This window comes from Homo sapiens, chromosome 17 (genome assembly GCF_000001405.40).
Source record: "Homo sapiens chromosome 17, GRCh38.p14 Primary Assembly".
Taxonomy (NCBI): Eukaryota; Metazoa; Chordata; class Mammalia; order Primates; family Hominidae; genus Homo; species Homo sapiens.
The window spans coordinates 71,729,353-71,750,371 of NC_000017.11; the positions used below are offsets into that span (position 1 = coordinate 71,729,353).

The 21,019-nt window shown below is 38.1% G+C and overlaps 1 annotated feature.

Moving 5' to 3' along the window:
• Positions 14,096 to 14,638: an enhancer, noted in NCBI's record as "enh4". NCBI's record gives the evidence for it as "EXISTENCE:reporter gene assay evidence [ECO:0000049][PMID:21408189]".

Consider the following 21,019-nt stretch of genomic DNA (forward strand, 5'->3'; position numbering starts at 1 on the left):
CTGTATTTTCTTTTCTTTCTTTCTTTTTTTTTTTTTTTTTTTTTTTTGAGATAGAATTTTGCCCTCGTTGCCCAGGCTGGAGTACAATGGTGCGATCTCGGCTCACTGAAACCTCTGCCTCCTGGGTTCAAGTGATTCTCCTACCTCAGCCTCCCTAGTAGCTGGGATTATAGGCATGTGCCACCATGCCCGGCTAATTATTTGTATTTTTAGTAGAGTCAGGGTTTCCCCATGGTGGTCAGGCTGGTCTCGAACTCCCGACCTCAGGTGATCCGCCCTCCTGGGCCTCCCAAAGTGCTGGGATTACAGGCATGAGCCACTACCCCCAGCCAAGAGCTGCATTTTCTATAGTTCCTCTCTATAGTCCCGGCTGTTATATTGACTTGTGTGGTCCATCATCGATTCATTCTCTGCATCCAATCCAGAGAGAGCACCCCCTAGAAAAGCTTTCCTCCCTATCTAAAAATGTGTCAAAACTGACCTAATGTATATATTCAAGGAATGTAGAAGACAGAAAACAAAGTGTCAGGGAAGAAATGGCCCTTCAAACCATATCCTTTGTAAGTTAATGATGACAAACAGCAACCAAAATCTCAGGCCATATTGTGATATGGTTTGGACTTGTGTCCCCACCAAAATCTCACATGGAGATGTCATCCCAGTGTTGGAGGTGGGGCCTGGAGGGAGGTGATTGGATCATGGGGGTGGAGGTCTCATGAATGGTTTAGCCCCATCTCCTGGTGCTGTTCTTGTGACAGGGAGTGAGTTCTTATGAGATCTGGTTGTTTAAAAGTGTGTGGCACCTCCCACCTCTCTCTTGGTCCTGCTCCTGCCATGTAAGACGCCTACTCCCACTTTGCCTTCCGCCATGAGTAAAACTCCCTGAGGCCTCCCCAGAAGCAGATGCCGCCACGCTTCCTGTACAGCCTGCAGAACTATGAGCCAATTCAATCTCTTTTCTTTATAAATTACCTAGTTTCAGATATTTCTTTACAGCAGTGAAAGAACTGACTAATATGCCTTGTGATTGGTAAAAGGGAACTAAGAGGGTTCCTATTGAAGAGAAATTGACTGATGTATTGGCTAATCAAATCAGGAGGTCTCCTTAAACAGCTCGGAATCTAATGAGGAAGGCAAGTTAAAGAAACCACAGACAAGGAAGGCCAGTTTGTACTATCAGCTCCTTGGGCAAGCCAGGGATGACCAGAAATACCCAACAGGGACAAATCTTCTCTCTAGCTAGAGGAACAACCACCGGGAAAGAGACAATCCATGACATCAAGCTGAAAGATGATATTGGCTAGTATTCAGCCTCAGATTCATAAGCCACATATCTGCCCTCTAGAGATGAAACTTCAAGAGCAAAATATGTTTCTAGTGAGAGGAAATATGAAACGCCTGCCAACAGACACATTTATTTATTAAGTTACTATGTATAAGCACTGTGCTGTCTATTTCATAAATATCATATAATTTAATTATTATATCACCCACCAGAGGTGAGTATCATTCTCCCCATTTTACAGGTAAAGAAACTGAGTCAGAAAGGTCCCATAACTCATTCAAAAGCCCAGAGGAAATGTTGGAAATCTGGCTGGAACTTTATCCATTAAATACACAGACGTACAAACAATGTCCCAAACATCTACTGAATGATAATCATGTAAATCTGGAGGAAATAATGTGTGAACAGTACATAACATAATTTTCTAGCTCTTGGATCATCACACTATCCCCTGTGGACCAAATCCAGTTTGCCATCTGTTTTTGTGTGGCCCACAGACTAGGAATATCTTTTATGTTGTTAAATGCTTTGGAAAAAAAAGCAAGAAAAATTTATGATACACAAAAATTATATGAAATTTAAATTTTAGCATTCATAAAATATTAATGCAACACATTACTCATTTGCATATTGTCTATAGCTGCATTTGTGCTGCAATGGAAGAGTTCTCAGTTGTAACAGACACAAGACTTCCAAAAGCGGAAGAATTCACTGGGTATTTACAGAAAAAGATGTTGAGCCTTCTTCTAGGCAGAGACAACTCTTCTAGAAAATATCTCATACAATAAAGATTGATTATCACATTGTTTAGTGTGTAATTCATGTGTTCTCAAAATTTTCCTTAGAGGTATAGCAGTTACAGACATACCCCAAATACATAAATCTGTGCTTGTACTAAGAGAAACTTGGTGTCAATTATTCACTTTCCAAAAGGATTCACTAGATGTCATCCTCAGTGATTTTCCTTAGAGCGTTTCAGGTGGGATTTGAGTTATCAAACTTGGTTTCATTTGTGCTTTCGTGAATATACCTATTTGGTAAGATCTGTTTTGCCAAATTCAGTCCAATACAAATTGGTCTTGAATCCTATTCAAGGGAGATTATGTTTAAAGGACCTGAGGGACTTCATTATAACCACAGCTTCTTCTACCCCGGATGCCCCATGGCCTAAGACTCCCAAGAGCAGCAGCTTTCCAGCCATGTCCTGAGTTTCTGGGGCAGAGTAAAGTCAGCAAATCAGGATTTGCCTTCAGCCATCTCTCAGTTAGGAAAAATACAGATTCTGGGGGAAAGTTATTCACAGAGAAAGTAAAATTGCCAGTGGGCCTTTTTTTTTTTTTCTTCCAGAAATAAAAGGATACAAGATGAGTGAGATAGTATAGAGGTTAAAATTTTAAGATATTAAAAATATCTCCTTTCAAAGCCACAAGACCCAAAAGACTATTAGGGACACTTCCAATGCTCCATTTATTCAACGCATGGCAGACTGATGATAGGTATTCATTCTGGAACACTGAGCAAAGAAAGGTTTAGCCATTAACTAATATGAATACAAAATAAGCTGGATTCACGAGCCAAAATTGGGATATAAAAACCAGGCCCTTGAGTCTTCTTAAATAAGTTCTTAAATAAGAATAAGTTCCTCTGGGAAAATAACAATGCATTCGATTTTTGTGCGGGTTCCTGGTTGAATTTAGTCATTATGACTCAGGAGACTTCACTGATACGTTTTAGTAAGTGTTGGAGTCTCCCCAACCACCCTATTTAAAATGTAGTTTCTCCCCAGCCATTCCTACCCCTCTCCTGCTTTATTTGTCTCAATATCACTCATCATCATCTGACATACTATCTGCCATCATTATTTAATTGCTTATTGTCCCACTTCCAGAATGTGAGCTCCATAGGGCAAGGGCTTTATCTGTTTCATTTGCTAAATTCTCAACCCAGCGTCTGGCTCACAGTATGTACTCAAGTATTTCTGAATGAATTAAGTAATTTAAAAGGGGGTTCTTGGCCTGGCTCGGTGGCTCACACCTGTAATCCCAGCACTTTGGGAGACCAAGGTGGGTGGATCACCTGAGGTCAGGATTTCGCAACCAGCATGGCCAACATGGTGAAACCCATCTCTACTAAAAGTACAAAAAATTCACCAGGTATAGTGATGGGCGCATGTAATCTCAGCTACTCGGGAGTCTGAGGCAGGAGAATCGCCTGAACCCGGGAGGCAGGGGTTGCAGTGAGCCAAGATCACGCCATTGTACTCCAGCCTGTGCAACAAGAGAGAAACTCCATCTCAAAAATATTAACAATAATAAAAGGGGTTCTTAGCCGAATGTCAGAAAGAATCTCCTTGGTCTTTGTGAATTGCCTTGGGAGGAGATCTGCACTTTCTCCCAAATAGTGGAAACACTAACACGATCACTAAGTCTCTAAAACAACAAAGACCAATTTGTACTCTTCCTTCCTACAATGTTAGATTGCTCTATGCTATCAGTCAGAACCAAATAAATACCTAATGTTCAAAAAACCTGGCACCTGACACTTCACAGGGAGTTGACACCTAAGTGTGATTATCTGGATTTCTGAAAGAATGAATAAATGCAGGAGATAGTAGATATAAAAATGAACCGGCATACTTTGGTAATTGATCACCAGAGAGAAGAAGGTTCATTCTGCAAATATAATATTTAGTTTCCTTGATACTACTCTTTGCAGGTTCTCCTTGACCTTCTCTGATGTTTCCCTCTGAGTCTCCCTCTAAAGATTATTTTCCTTTATCTCCCCCTTAAGTGAGGATATAATCAAGGGTTGTAAAATATGCTAGAATTTCATGTTTTTCTATATCCAGAAACACTTAGAAGATAACATTTGCACAGGACATGAAGGAACAGGGAATGATAAGGCCATTATCATTGCTCCTGAAATTCTGCTGGCCCAAATCCTGCCCTGTCATTTCTAGACACCCCATAGCAGCCCCAAAGTTAAAGGAATCAATATTTCTGTGTACTTATAACCTATCTAAGACACACCAGGATACTGCAGCACAACAGCTAGACAGTTCTCCTCTACTCTTCTACTTCTATACATTTCCAGTCAATCTTATTCGCCTATGATTTCATCAGCACCAAGAGAGTGATAACTCTCTCCACCAACAACTCTTCTTCAAATGCCTACCTCTCCCTTAGCGTCCAGGATTCAGAATCATATGTACCACCACTGATTAAACACACCACCAAGATGTTCCACACCTGGCTGCATCTTCTACCTAAAGCATTCTTCCCTCCTCCTCCTCCCTGTGTAGCAATTAAGCCTGTGACTCAAGGTAGAAACAGGGAGTTACCCTTTTTTCCTTGTTTCTCACCTTCCATATCCAAAAAATCACCTAGGTTAGCCATCCTCTCTCTTTTACATTAGCTGTCTCTGCTTTAGTTCAGGCCCATCTTATCTTTTGCCTAAACTGTGTAAGTGGCCTAACATATCTTCATTCTTCAATCTGCTCCTCCAATCCAGTGATGGGCTGGAATCAACTTTTACTAGCGGATAAAATCCAATTATGCTCTTCTCTTCCCAGCTCTGGGTTTAGTGACTTTAAATTGGCACCTTAAAATTTGCTAAAATGAAAGTATTTACACCATGGAAATTGGCAAATGCTAGAATCAGGACTTTTTGTTGCCAGACAGTAAATTGTTAAACATTTGCTAGTATATTGCTGTTCAAATCTAACCTCTATAGAGAATAATTCATTGAGAACAAAAATTTAGCTATGCCAGACACTTGTTTAGACCATTCTGTGGCTCCTCATTATCTACAAGATTAATCCAAGCTCTTTAAAGTATCACAGAGAGACTTTCTGAGCTCTGCTCCTGCCTGCATCTGTTATCTGGTAATATGCCCCTTCCTTTATGGGTGCCATTAGGCAACATTCAATTGCTTGTAATTTTTCATATCAAGCTATTCTTGACCCCAGGATTTTGCATAAATTGTCCCGGAAGCTTCGAGTCTCTTTCCTTTATTACCCTCTGTTGTATAACTAACTCTTCACTCATACTTCAATACAGAGTTGAGACAATATTTTCTGCAGAAATTATTTTCTTATCACCCCTAGACTGTGCTGACCACTCACCATATTCTGGACAATGAGAGCCCACTTTTCCTATTTCTGCACTACATTTGCTATATTCTATTGTAATTATGGGTTTCTCTCTCCTCTCCTGTAACCCCTGCGGAGAAACTAGGAGATACTTGAGATCAGGAAGCATGCATGTTCATCTGTGCACCTCCAGTTCCTGAACAGTAACTTACATATATTTTAAATTCAACATATATATATATATATATATATATTTACTGTATGGTAGGTGAATGAATGCATATTGGATGTGATTATAGTAATTTATAACATTTTAAATAATCCTGAAGCCTGAGTTCATACTTTCAAGTCTACTGTTTGTGATTTCTTCATTACACAGGGATAAAGAGGCCCTTAGGTTTCAGCCACATTCATACTGAGGCACTTTGCTGGAGGCTTTTATAAATACATGTTTTTCAGAGGATCATTCTCTTTTCTGTATTTATTTTCTGTGCATCTGGTTTGACCATAGCACAGCTGCAAATAAACTGTCCACTCATTTACAATTAGAAAATGTGTGTGTGTGTGTGTGTGTGTGTGTGTGTGTGTGTGTGTGTTTCAAAGGGAGGAGACTATGAAATAGACAAGGGGGTGGTAGACTTCTGTTTAACAAGCTCACCAATATTTGGTTTGTTTTCTTCCTGATAGACAGCCAAGCTACCAGGAGAGCCATTTAAAAATGCACTATAAAATGTTGTCTTGAACTAGTTGTTAGAATTGGCTTTCTCTTCTGTTATTTTTGCATTAAAATACAGTGAGACTCCTGTACATTAATTGCTCCAATGAGCTTTGAAATGTAGCACTGTGGCTAGCAAAAGAGGCAAAATATTCATTTCTAAGTTTGAATAGCTTTGTCAAAAAAAAAAAGATAGGTGCTTCTTGAACTTCAGCTCAACGAGCAGTAGCTAAGACACTTAACAAATTATTTTCCTTCCTGGAAAAAAAAGTAATAAGCCTTTTAAGAGATGTTGCAATAACAAAGAACATCCTTTACCATATCTTTATGTATTCTATTTGAAGATCCCAAAGAAAGTGCTGAAAGCAGTAATTCCACAAGTATGTATTACATATATTTCCTTTATTAATATGGTACTTAAATATCAGAAAGAATAAGTGCATGATTATGCAACTAAGCTCAAGGCCATAAAGAAAAGCCACTAATTAAATTTGGAAGTGATAGGCATTTGCTGATGTCAAGGAATAGTTTATTGAAATTATTCTGCAAAGGTTTGATGAAAGATTTTCTTCGTACCGCCCCCATCTCTCCCACCAAAAGTCCCACTAACCATCTGTTCACCCACAGCACTACCAAAAAGGTGACATTTATTGCAAGCTTGGCATTTTCTGACTCTTTGACCGCAAAATTTATGCTGAACTCCCCAAAAAGAAATGAAGTTGTTTTTACTTTTTCTCCATCTCTCTTTTTGCCTGACTAGTAACAGGAAGTTCTTGGAAACCTCCCCAAGAATGGCTGGTCTTGTAAGAGTCCCAAACCAGTCTTGAAGGCGCCAGAGCCTTGGCACATTTGAGGTAAGGGTTATGGAAACACCTGCACCGCCCCTTTCAACCAAAGTTCCCGTGAGTAAGGCCCAGAAGTTTGCATGGTTGTTTATCAGTGGTGACCCTGAGTGAGGAGAGCTCATGCAAAAAGCTCTAAGGCTTGTCCCAACCAATCTTGTACATTGATTGCACAAGAAAATGCTTATGAAGTATTTTAAAGTGGGTAGTCAAATTAGGACCCTGAGCTGAAACCTGAGGTCAAGCTATGAACTGTTCCCTATTCAGAATTTCTCCCCTTGACAAATACAATGTATAGTAGGAGGGAAAAATCATGGCATGACACCTCATTAGTCGTTATGAGCAGATCTGTTTTTGCACCTCGGGACTCCTCAGGAATGATTTGTGAGGCAGTTCACTGACATTCCTGCTTCAGTCTTCACCAAGCAATCTTAAACCTTTGGGCCTTTGTCCTCTCCTTCTCTATTCTGTGATTAGAATTCTGAAGGAGTTGGAGACAATGCAAAAACAATAGTGATTATTTGCAGAAATACCTCCTCCAGTGCCTGAAGCTAAAAGGGCTCTATCTGATGTTGTTCTGGATCTGGGAAATATAAGGGATGTCAAGGGACAGCATGAGGGTTGCTAGGAGAAAAGGCAGCCTCTAAGGTCTCTGGTGGACTGCAATAGCCATAAAGCTCAGATAACTCCCTATGCTAAAGAAAGGGAAGGGGCTGTGACCAAGTTGCAGATGAGGAATTTTGTTCTGCTTTTCTTTTTCTACTTCCTGTTAGCTTCATTAACTTCCCTGTCTCAATAGAAGCTAAAATTATGAAGATGTAATGCTTCTCATTGAAGAATTTCTTCTGTGAAAGTACCCCAAGCCCACAAAATAGCTTAATAACCCAGCTCACTGATGTCTGCAAATCCACCATTAAATATTGTTTTCGTTTAAAGTCTGATGGCTCACTGGAACAAAATGTTCCCAGAGAAACATATCAAGTGATAGCTATTATTTTCATTTTATTAAAAATAAGTAAATTGATCCATAGCTAATAATAGATAATGATTCACTGAGAGCTTACTTGTGCCTGGCACTGTTTGAAGTGCTTTATATGCAATATCTCATTTAATACTCAACAACAAACCATGCATAGCAGTCATGGTGGTTGCTTTGTTGAGTACATTTCAACTGACTATCTCATGATAATTATTACAATGCCATTCCTTTTTTCAGTGTTGGGTTAAGCGTGGGCATGCGACCAAACCTACTAAAAAACATAGGAAAGGAAGTCTGATAAGAGGTTTCTGTATTCTAAAAAGAAGATAGAGTAAAAGAGATAATCTTTCATCTGATATCACACCAATATTCCTGAGTGTGACAGCTTGAGTTAATGCAATCTCATTGCCACCACATCATAAGATGTCCCAGAAGAGAGAAAAATCTGAGCATTGAGTGTCACTATTGAGCCACTGATCATACTGCATCTAGACCAAGCTATCTTCCTGATTTCCACTGATGTGAGATCAATTTTATCACTGGGTAGATGAGTTTGACCTAGGTTTTCCTGCCACTTTCAGCAGAAAGTATCCTGATGTACAAAGTGGTTGATAACATTGTCTTTCCCACTCTACAGATGAAGAAATTAAGGATCAGAGAGGTAAGATAACTTTCTATGTTTCCCAAGCTAGAGAGTTATAAAGCAGTGATTTGAACAAAGGACTCGGGCTTCTGAAACCACCCTTTTAACTATCATGGCATACTTAAAAAATATAAAAGAACTACAGTGTTCAAGAAAACAGCAGCGTGATACTGGTTCCATGGGTAAATTATAGGAATATAAGGAGATAATTGGGAACTCTGGGACATTGAGACCCTTGGGTGGTAAGAATGTATGGTGTTCTTTTGAGGCCTTGTACAATAGTGGCAACAATTCAGCTCAGTAGCCAGTCATTGAACCCGTTGGGTACTGTTTCCCACAAGCTAACAGCTCACATCTTTGTAGCAAATGAAACGTGTAAACAATTGACTGCAAAAGAGGCATTATAGCATAGAGGCTACAAAATAACTTTCCTTTAGGGGACATGAGTAAAGAGTGATTAATTCCAGCAGAGGATGAATCTCTTCATCCATTTTGCCTTTCCATGGCTCATGCTACTCCAGAACTTCACTCCATATTACCAATGGCAAGTGCCACAAAGCTTTCCAATCTTTTTTTCTTCTTCACAAAACTTGTTTGAGCCCATCACCCCATAGGATGTGGAAAATTGGTTTCTTTTTAAGGACCCAGGATAAGGGATGGAGTGCATCCTCTTTAACCAACTGATAGGGCTCCTCCAGTCTCTCTGGCTATGAAACTTCAAACAGACTGGAACTGAAAGTAGTATCTTCATCCTCATTTACTAATCAACAACTTATACACAAATTCTTTACCCTAGTATTCAAGATATTTCTCTATATACATGCAACTATCTTTCAAGATTAATTCTTGATACTTCCCAATAAAAATGGCATGTTAGCTGATTTAGACCATTAAATCTCAGGCACGGTGGCTGATGCCTGTAATCCTAGCACTGTGGGAGACTGACGTGAGAGGATCACCTGAGGTCAGGAGTTCAAGACCATCCTGGCCAACATGGTAAAACCCCATCTCTACTAAAAATACAAAAATTAGCCGGGTGTGGTGGTGGGTGCCTATAATCCCACCTATTTGAGAACCTGAGGCAGGAGAATTGCTTGAACCTGGGAGATGGAGGCTGCAGTGAGCCAAGATCATGTCACTGCACTCCAGCCTGGGTGATAGAGGGAGACTCCGTCTCAGAAAAAAAAAAAAAGAAAAAAAGAAAAAAAAAAGCACATATTCCAGTAGAAGCAATAAACCATCTCTATATAATTATATATATTCAGACATTCACTAACCATGTTGTACATGTTTTTAAAAAAAGAAGAGACCAACATTCGAAAAAAAAATAACAGGCAAACAAAAATATGGTAAAATTGTTATGTAATGAAAAACTAAATGTTGTATAAGTAATTTATAGAAATCTGTTAAAATTGAGTAAGAGGCAGTTTCCCATAGAAAAAAGAAAGGATGTGAATATACAGTTCAATAAAAAACAAATTCACTATATTATACAAAATATTCAATTGCACCAGTAGAGAAACTCAAATTTAAAGGGTTTTCATTTTAAATGATCAAATTAGCAAATATTTTTAAATGATGAAATTTAGTACTCTGAGGGAAACAGATATCTGTGCACTACTGAGGCTTTGCTCAGAAACATTTTCACGTTTCACTCACGAGAGTTAGGTCCCAAGTCTTCCTTTGAAGACCAATCACTATTGATTTAGAGTCCATGCCTGATGCAGTCTGGCCATGATCAAAAGACCATGAAATTTATCATCCCAGACAGAACACTTTTGAGTGTGAAAGTGAGGTAGGAAGCAGAACTCAACTCTGGAGGCGGGACTCAGACACAGGACCAAATTGAGGACTAGCTAAAACAGGGACGGGGCACAGGCAGCTTTTCCATAAGACAAGCCCACCAGTGTTTACCACGCCCACGTCAGTTTACCATTACCATGGCAACACCCCCTGCGTTACCACTCCTTTCCATAGCAATGACCTGTTAACCTAAATATTACTACCCCTTCCCTAGAAATTTCTGCATAAAACTATCTCTTATTTTACACGCAATTAAAAGGAGGTATAAATATAACTGTGAAACAACCTTGAGCTGTTACTCTCAGTCCACTGCCTATGGGGTAGCCCTGCTCTGCAAGAGCAGTCACAGGGCTGTAACACCTCCAGAGCTGTAAGCTGCTGCTTCAGTAAAACTGTTTTCTTCTACACTATCACAAGCTCACCCTTGAATTCTTTCCTAGGCAAAGCCAAGAACCCTTATGGGCCAAACTGCACTTTGGGGCCCGCCTGTTCCGCATCAAAAAGAAATATTGAAAATTATACCAGGCAACAGGTATAAACCAGGACTTCTCCTGAAACCTGATTCACCCCCTGAAAATGGAAAAGCATCTCACCCTGAAATAAAAGGATCCTCACCTACCACCTGAGCAAATGGGGCTCTACAATTACGAAGTACTGTGGATGGGTGGACATGTCTGCTATGCCACGAAAGGCAGCTAGACAGAAACTGACAATCATTTTCTATACTTGATCTTCTGATAGACAATTGTCCTCGTTTTTTCTCAAAATTTAGCTTCCTCAATTTTGGCTTAATTCCTACTCTCCTTTCCATCCCCACTGCCCACTCCATTGAAGGAACTGAAGACAAGGGACTGATTCCAGATCATTCTCCTCTTTCATTCCTCATAAAGTCCACCTGGTTAACGGTTGTAGTTAAGATCCATTTGATTGCAACTGATAGAAATCAAACTCAAATGAATTTAAGATGGAAAATAAACAAATAAAAAATAAAAACTATGGGAGATATTTTGGCTCTGGGAAATCTATGGGGTAGAACTGGCTTCAGGCATGTAACTATCAAGGATGTCTTCAGAAGTGTGTTCCTCTCTCTCTCCTGACTTCTTCGATCTGATTATCTCTACTTCACTTCAGTGTAGTACACAATCTCTCTGTAGGTCAGCAAGAGAACCTGCAGCCTCTCCTGAATCACATGGTACCATTCCGAGCATCTGATCTCAAAAAGTAAGATTCTTTATTTCTCTTTCCTCTCTCTCTCTCTCCCCCTCTCCCCTTCCCCCAGCTCTGCCTCTGCCCATAGCAGTTGCACAGAAGGGCTTTGATTGTTCACGTTTGCATTATGCGGCACTAATCATGAAGTCTCAAGGCATGAATTATTCTGATTGTCCAGTTTGATTCACATGCTCAACTTTTGGCAGGGGTGATAGATCCAAAAAATCACATGGGTTGGGGAACAGAGCAGTTCCCTAAAGAAAGGAATACAGTGTACATCAAAATGTAATAGATGTCTAGTACTGACTAATTTTTGGATCTGCCCCCCCAATCACCCTTCCACTTAGACTGAAGGCACTTTCACTATGGGGAGCATGTCTTATTTGTAGCAAAGTAGTTGGCATAAGATGACACTTTCTGGTTTTGAATGAATAAGTGAATGTTTCACTAATTTATTCATAGAATAAAATTAATAGTACTGAAGGAAAAGCAGTGACAGTGAGCAAAATAAAATATACAAATCATATCAATGATCTGGATAAAAAAGATAGCAATATATAGCACTACATTCATAAAAGGATATCAGTCACTTTTTAATAATTTCTAGGAAGATTTAAAAGTATCAATTAGATAATACCTTTATTGTAACTCTGCAATTTGTCCTCCTAGGCATTGTTATTCATTCTACTTTTTATGTGTCATATTTATGAACTTGATATTGAATATCTAAAAATGCCATAGGATATTGATCTGGGCAAATAACTTATGACTAAGACCACAAAGCAAATGCATCAACAACAAAAATAAGTAAATGGGACTTAAACTAAAAAGGCTTCTGTACAGCAGAAGAAATGATCAACAAATAAACAGACGACATAAAGAATGGGAGAAAATATTTGCAAACTATACATCTGACAAAGGATCAATATCCAAAATCTATAAGAAACTCAAACCATCAAGAAATGATAAAATAATCCTATTAAAAACTGGGCAAATAACATGAAGAGACATTTTTCAAAAGAGGATATACAAATGGCCAACAAACATATGAAAAAATGCTCAACACCATGAATCATCAGGGAAATGCAAATTAAAACCACAATGAGATATCACCTCACCCCAGTCAGACTAGCAATTATTAAACAGTCAAAAAAAATGATGTTGGCAGAGATGTGGTGAAAAAAAACACTTAACACACTGTTAGTGGGTATGTAAATTAGTACATCCTATATGGAAAATGGTCTGAAGAATTCTAAAAAAACTAAAAGTGGATCTACCATTTAATTCAGGAATCCCACTACTGGATATCTACTCAAAGAAAAAGAAGTCATTATATTAAAAAGACACCTGCACTCATAGGTTTATCACAGCACAATTCACAATCTCAAAGATATGAAATCAACCTAAGTGCCCATCAACAAATGTGTGGATAAAGAAAATGTGGTACACACACATACACACACACACACACACACACACACACACACCATGGGCTACTACTCAGCCATAAAACGAATGAAATAATATCTTCTGCAGCAATTTGGATGGAACTAGAGGCCATTATCCTAAGTGAAGTAAATCAGGAATGAAAAAACAAATACTGCATGTTCACAGTGGTACAGTGAACATTGGAGACTAGAAAGGGAGAGGGTGGGAGGAGAACATGAGATGAAAAACTACCTATTGGGTACAATGTACGCTATTTGGGTGATGAGTTCACTAAAAGCCTAGACTTCACCACTATACAATTCATTCATGTAACCAAAAACCAGTTGTATCCCTAAAGCTATTGAAATAAAAAATAATAATAATAAAAATAAAAGTGCCATAGATTTGTCACTAATTGTTTAATCATGGTCCATTTGTTCCTAAAGTAGCTGGGCTACTCACAGCTACCAGAGAGTGGAGACCTAATAAGACCTCGGTGGCAGAATGCAATTATTCCTATTAGAGGTAAGAATGAGTCCAACCATAACATCGTTTTAAAATATAGGCCAGACGCGGTGGCTCACAGCTGTAATCCCAGCACTTTGGGAGGTTGAGGTGGGTGGATCACCTGAGGTCAGGAGTTCGAGACCAGCCTGGCCAACATGGTGAAACCCCATCTCTACCCAAAATACAAAAATTAGCCAGGCATGGTGTACGGTACCTGTAATCCCAGCTACTTGGGAGGCTGAGGCAGGAGAATCACTTGAACCCAGGAGGCAGAGGTTGCAGTGAGCCGAGATCACCCCACTGCACCCTACTCTGGGTGACAGAGCAAGACTTTGTTTCAAAAATGAATAAAGAAATAAAATATAGTGGAGAATTATATTTTTGTGGGGCAATGGCTAATTGATAAACTCTCTCCCACCTCATGTATGATCACTTTATGTTAATTCTCAGTGTGCTAAATACTAATTCCCACAAGTACCAAATTAGACACAGAAGAAAAAAAAATCACGTTTTAAGGATTTTTGTTCCAAAAAAAGTTTTCATTAAATTGCTACAAAAAATAATACTTACTCTCAGTTTAGAAGCCTCTTGCCTGAAGGAGAAGATGACTTGGTCACATTTCAGCACTAGGGCCCAAGTCTCTAAGCAACTTTCCTCAGAAATGGTCACTGAGAAGCATTTCTCCCACACTGTGTCAAAGGGCTGTTTAAAAATCTGCCCCAAGTGAGAACATTTAGAAATGCACACGCCTGTGTGTTAGGAAAGCCATCAACACTCTTGCAGAGCCATATACCTGCCCTCCAGGGACCTGAAACTATTCCATTATACCAGAAACTCTGTAGAATGTAAATCCAGAGGCCTGAAACGCTGTATATTTTTCAGAAAGTACAAAGTGGAAGCCATTAATTCCATGGATTCACCAAATGAATGGATTGTTTCATCTGCATAAATGAACTGTCAGAAACAATGGCCACGCAGCACTTTTGCTCCCATTTCCCACAGAGGAAAAAACCATCTCCCAAATAAGGCTACATCTATTTACAAAACTTAAGCAAAGCAGCTTTTGCTGAAGACGGGAAAAAGGAAAGTTTGATTTATATTCTAAAACCTGGATGCCTGAATTCAAACAGCATGCATTAGAAATATACAGTTCAATTCTCTCTTAATACACAGAAAGATGTCAGCTCTGTCTTTAGAATGCAAATGGGAGCGTTCTTATTGCACATCTATGGTTATTTCAGCAAACTTGCAGGAGCACTTCTGTGTTGCATCTAGCTTTATTCCTTCTTGTCCCTCTTTTTAAAATCTCTTTCCTGAAATATTTTAACCCCTAAGACTTTGAGACACCATTCCCCTTTTTGCTGCCTCTCCTCTTGTTCTTTCATTATGAAATATTCAAAACACTCAGAATGTTTTAATGAAGAGTGAAATGTAAGAAACATCATTTTTACCTTTACTTACCCAGCATTCTGAAATCTTTGCATTTTTCTTAATTGTTTCAAATTTCATTTAAGTAGTAAATTGTTCTAACATTGCTCCTTGCACACCAGTTCCCCAAATTATTACACTTCTCCCAAAAGTTACTACTTTCCAAAATGTGGTATTCATTATTTTACTTCATGTGTGTATTTTTACATAGTATTTTTCAATGGTAGATATGGTACATATCCATATGTAACTTTTTTATTCTATATTTATGCACAGCATTGAGTGTCATCAATATGTCACATATAGCCCTAAGTCATAATAACAGCTATATAGTACTTCGTTGAATGAATATAGACAGTTTGTCTAATTTCTCAGTGATAAACATATGCCTTCCTTTTCCATTATTTGCTTTTCTTCTTTTCATCCATGATGACTTAGGACTTTTATGGACTGACTGTAGCATTTTGTCTTTGAAGCGTTGTCTCTTTTGTCTTAGGCAGTAATAAAAAGTCATTTGTACCTATCTACTTCGGTTAACTATTCATGTTTTTGTTCCCTTAAGGTTTATTTGCATACTGTATTATGTATGATTTTTCTGCGATTATATTTCTTTGTTGTGAGTGTAGGCATAGAGCTTCAGGACAAGACTGAATCTTAGTAGTCATACAGTCCAATTTTCATTTTTTAAACTATGACATTGAAATCAAGAGGAGGTGAATGACTCACCTACAGACATACCACTGGGTCTCCTGGCTCCCTGTCCTTTCTTTATTCTTTTCACTGCACCAAACTACTGCTCATCCATTCAATTTTACAATATTTGTTTCTCAAATATTGTAAACATTCACAAAGAAAGCAGTTTCTCAAAAGGTCTAGCACATCTTACATCCTTCTCATCAGAGGAAGCTAGGCACTGTGGGAACATCCAAAAACAGTTCATGTCCTCAAAGACATTAAACTGTAAATGAACAACCAAAGAGAAATGAAAACATTACAGGCAACTATAGTTCTTATACGGAATTCAGCTATGACTGAATTCCAGTATCAAAGGCAGAGATAAGTCTTGTAGAAGGCAAAGAAGGTGAGATCTGACTGGGAAGGTGCTTGTCAGAGAAATGTTCAGAATAAGGCAAGATTAGAGCCTGTGCAGTCAAGGAATACAAGATCAGATGAAGAATATTAGAGGCAGGAGTTCCAATATCATCAAAGAAACAGAAGAGAGAAAACCACTCTTATAAATTTAAGGAACTTCTCATTACTTTTTTTTTCTATGAACTTTTTCTTCTTATTGACACCTTTATAGTGGAGGGCAGGCTTCTTGACATTTGGTTTCTACTATCTCTCAGTTTCTTGGAGGATCCTTCTTAACTGTTATTTCAACTTTTGATTTTGGTGTAATGTTGAATTTATAAAAACTTTAACTGTGCAAGAATAGGACTCTTGTATGTCCTTTACTCATATTCACCAAGTGTTTATCTTTTCCCCACTTGCATTACCAATCTTTCTGTCTGCACAGCTATGTAATTTTGATGAACCTTAGAGAGTAGTTGGAGACATTATGCCACTTTATTGTACATGATAGTATTGTGTATTTCTTAGGAACGGGAATATTCTCTTACGTAACGCAAAATTATCAAAACATATTCAACAATCTCAATAACGTCCTTCATTGCTTTCCTCCCCCTTTATGCCAGTACAGGATCAAATCCTAGATCACACATAAAACTGCATAATTTATAAGAAAAACATTTTGCTTTGAGCTTCATTGATCTAGCCTTTTATATAGCAATTATTGAAAATCTGTGAAGAGAGTTAAAGAGGCAATCCCTGTTCTCCACACACTCAAGCCACATGGTGAAGGGTAGATGAGTTATCTTATTTTAATAGATTACGATCTCTACTGTGAGAGTCATTGGATACTCTGCTATGATAAGGCTTCCAGGAAGAGGTTATATTAAAGCTGAGACTTTAAAAAGTAGAATACAGTAGTAACAGCTTTCCTTTCAAAAGTAGCATGTGCTAAAACAAAGTAGACTGTAGCGTATTTAGAGAACTGTAAGTAGCTCAGTATTTCAATGTAGTAGGGGCTATATGTGTATGTATGTGCATGCATGTGTAAGCACACGTGCATGTAGATTTGGCAAGGTTTGGTGATTGATGGGAGTTGAATTAGGTATAAGCTAGATCATAAAACACCTTCTATGTTATAATGTAAAACCAGATCCTGAAAGCAATGGGGAATTGTTGGAGAAATTTAAGCAGGAGGCCAATAAGATCTCATTTGATTTGCCTTGTCTGAAAGATTAGTCTGGCTGCAGTATTATGTGTGAATATTACATCAATATGGGTGAAAAATTACAAGGGCTTCAAAGAGGCAACACTGTCATGTAGACTTAGAATCTTTTAAAGAAGGAAAGTGGACAGAATCTAGCAATTGCTGAATGGGGATGGTGGGTAGTGGTAAGAGGGAACAGACTGTCTAGGAAGACTTCCCTGGGCTTCCAAGTCAGACCTGGACCCATTCTACAAAGGAAAACAGACAAAATCTATGATTTCAGGCCATTGGAGCTTATTCTCCTAACATTCTCTCTATACTCTTTGGAAACATGGAAAAAGTACATATTCCTGAGTCCTGCCCACACAGTTCCTTGACTCTTATACACAAGCTTCCTTGTCTTCTGGAGGAGACTTGGTCTGGTCTTGGTCCATGCTCCCTGGGTGATCTGGCCATCTCTCTTCTTGCAACTATTTCACCATTTCTCTTGAAGTAAGTAAGTAGAACGCCATCTTCCTTTCATTAATGCTTGGGCCTCATGTATCATTCTGCCACCTACTGCAGCTAGACTTTATAATAATATTCCCACAAATATTTCGTATTTGGTGTTTGATATTCCTTAGACTGTTTATTCTTCCCCTTTTGCAAACCAATACGCCCTTTTCATAAACTTGAATACATTTCTCAGCCAAGAGCTTATTTAAAGATCTGAAAGTTTCTTGTAAAATTCAGACGTGAGCTCATTTATTCAAGAACACTTCCATTTCTCAAGGATTTAATGATGCCTCTTCCCCCACCCCCAAGTCAGTTGATTTTGTTTCTAAATCAGCAAATCACTTTCAACTACATCAGCTTAGGTAAACTTATCTTACTCTCTTCTGTCTGTTATTGGGGAAAATAAATCATCTGACTATAATTCTAAAACACAGAATGAGTTAACATTATGTTATGAGGGTGGGAAGAGAATGGACAAATGTTCGAAGGAGACCAATTGGAATGAAAAAGAGAAAGGAAGAAGGAAGACCAGAGGATGATTTTTTGCTTGACCTCACTCTTCTGAGTCCAAGTTCAATCCCTTCTCTTAACATACGCATGCCTCTTTTTGAAATCTCAGCAGATTCTTTGCTTCGACTTCCACTTTAATGTATGATATGGCCCTAGATTTCTTTTTCAGTCTAGATATCATTAAATTCTAGCATCTCTAACTTCTGAGTGGGCTCTCAAAATTATTTATTGTTATTCTAGTAAATGCCATGTTCCATTGATTATTTCAAATCACTGACATTTTTTATTCCCAAATTAATATTCTTTTTAATTTACTTATATTATTTGACATACAAAACTGTACATAATATATACAACTTGATGAGTTTGGAGACAAGTATACATCCATGAAACCATCACTGCAATCTATGCCATAAATCTATCACCTCCAAAACTTTGCTCTTGCTCTCTTATTATCAGTAGTAGTAAGAATACTTAGCATATGATCTACACTTTTAGTAAATTTCTAAGTATATAATACAATAATGTTAACTATAGGCACTATACTGTACAGTAGACCTCTAGGACTTATTTATCTTGTATAACCAAAACTTTGTACCCTTTGGCTAATATCTGTCTGTTTCCCCTCCTCCCCATCCCCTGGCAACCACTATTCCATTGTGTTCTTCTATGAGTTTGACAATTTTAGATTTTTCATATAAGTAGTATCATGTAGTATTTGTTCATCTGTGCCTGTCTTATTTTACTTGGCATAATGTCCTCCAAGTTTATCCATGCTGTTGCACCTGGCATGATTTCCTTCTTTTTTAGGCCAGATTATTTATATATATATATATACGTATATATATATATATATATACACATATATATATATATATACACACATATATATATATATACACACACATATATATATATATATACATACACACACACACACACACACATATATACACACATATATATACATATATACATACACATACACACACACGTATATCATATATATACATATATATAATGTGATATATATATATTACATTTTTAATCTATTCATCTGTTGATGGACATTTAGCTTGCTTCCCCAACTTGCTATTGTGAATAATACTGCAATGAACATTGGAGTACAACTATCTCTTTGAGATCCTGATTTTAATTCCTTTGGATATATACCCAGAAGTGTGGGATTGGAAAATTCTATGCACATCTTCCTGGTATTTTTGCTTCTATTTATTTCTTAACTTTTGGGGAGGTTTCTGTTTTAGAAAGAGAAGTTGAAACATTAGGGATGCTTAGCTGCAATTTTTTTCCAGAAAATTGAGGTGTTATCTCTGTCCTTGCCCTCTGTGTCAATCAGTCTTCCTAGGAGCTGTCTTCCTAAGTGCCATTTCCAGCCTAGGTAGAAGTTTAGCATAACTAAAATGCATTCAATATGTTCCTTTTTAATATTACATCCCACTGTGCCACTTATTGTCTGTGCAACATTAAGGCAGTCACTTGACCTCCTTGGCTGCTGAATCATCATTTTTAAGTAGAAAGCTGTAAAAGATAAATGGGTCAAGGTTCTTTTCATTACTAAGTTTTAAGATTCTGTGAGGTTTTTTTCCTTTGTCTTTTCAATCTTAGTTTTGTGTTCCAGCTTCTATAGCTCCTCTGAGTTTCCATCACCCCTCTATCTATTCCAAAATACTGTCCTCACAGTGTTCCTTGGCGTCTTCCTAGACAATTTCCCTGAGGGCAAAGCAAGAATCATTTTCATGGTCATACTTGCCATTCCCTTCTCCATATTCTTCCCATTTCCATATGAGAATATGCTTCTGCACCAAAGAGTACGGAGTTATTGTTCTTGCTGCCTCACTATGGGGGCCCCATTGCTTATCATGCTGTGTGTCTTGGGAAGAAAAACATAGCTGTGACTGTCATCATATCAAGCCAGACGTGGATCCTCAGCCAAGACAAGGGATTTTTAAAGATGGTGGAATCATAAGTACCCGAAGTGGATTGAATAGTGAGCATGACGTTTAGTCCTGCAATAACATAGTTTTGGATGTACTTAAAGATGTATAGAGAAATTCTCATCAAAGCGTTTTCTGTGACAGTAAAAACTTAAAATTTATGTCCAACATTATAAGGCTGATCAATTCAATAAATTGCATAAAGGAGTTTGAGCTTTAGATGAAGGATTTGAACAGTCATTAAAATGTTTGAGCTAAAAGTGCTCAGATTGGATTTTTGTTTTCGAAAGATTACCCTTTGGTGATAAAAACAATAATTTGGAGAAGGGCAGGAACTAGAAAATGTAGTGATACTGGTGGCCTTGACAATGTTGACGGAAGTGAATATGAAGAAGCATATTTGAAGACTTCAAGGAGAAAGAATTAGAAGGAATCCATGAATGATTGGATGTGGAAGTTGGGAGAAGGTTTCCACTAATCAGTCATACCATTTTTAAAGTCTTTCTACACCTTTTTTTCCTCTGGGCCCTTCATATATGAGCTTACATCACTCACAGCACAGCCTCAGAAAATGTTATCAGAGAGAAAAGTTTGTCTGCAGTGTCACCATCTCCCTTTTCAACATTCTAGCTTCCTTTTCTCTACATCTTCTCTGCCTCCTTTAAATTTAGACATCAGCATATTCTGCAGTTGTTGAAATCTGAGAATACAGAATTGGGAGTCCCTCAGGCCCACTTTTTAATTCACTTCTGCCATTTTCAAACCATGATATTCGGCAAGTGATTTAACTCATTAAGCCTCAGTTTTTATTTATGTAAGCTAGGATAGTAGTGCATATTCCATAGGGTTATGATG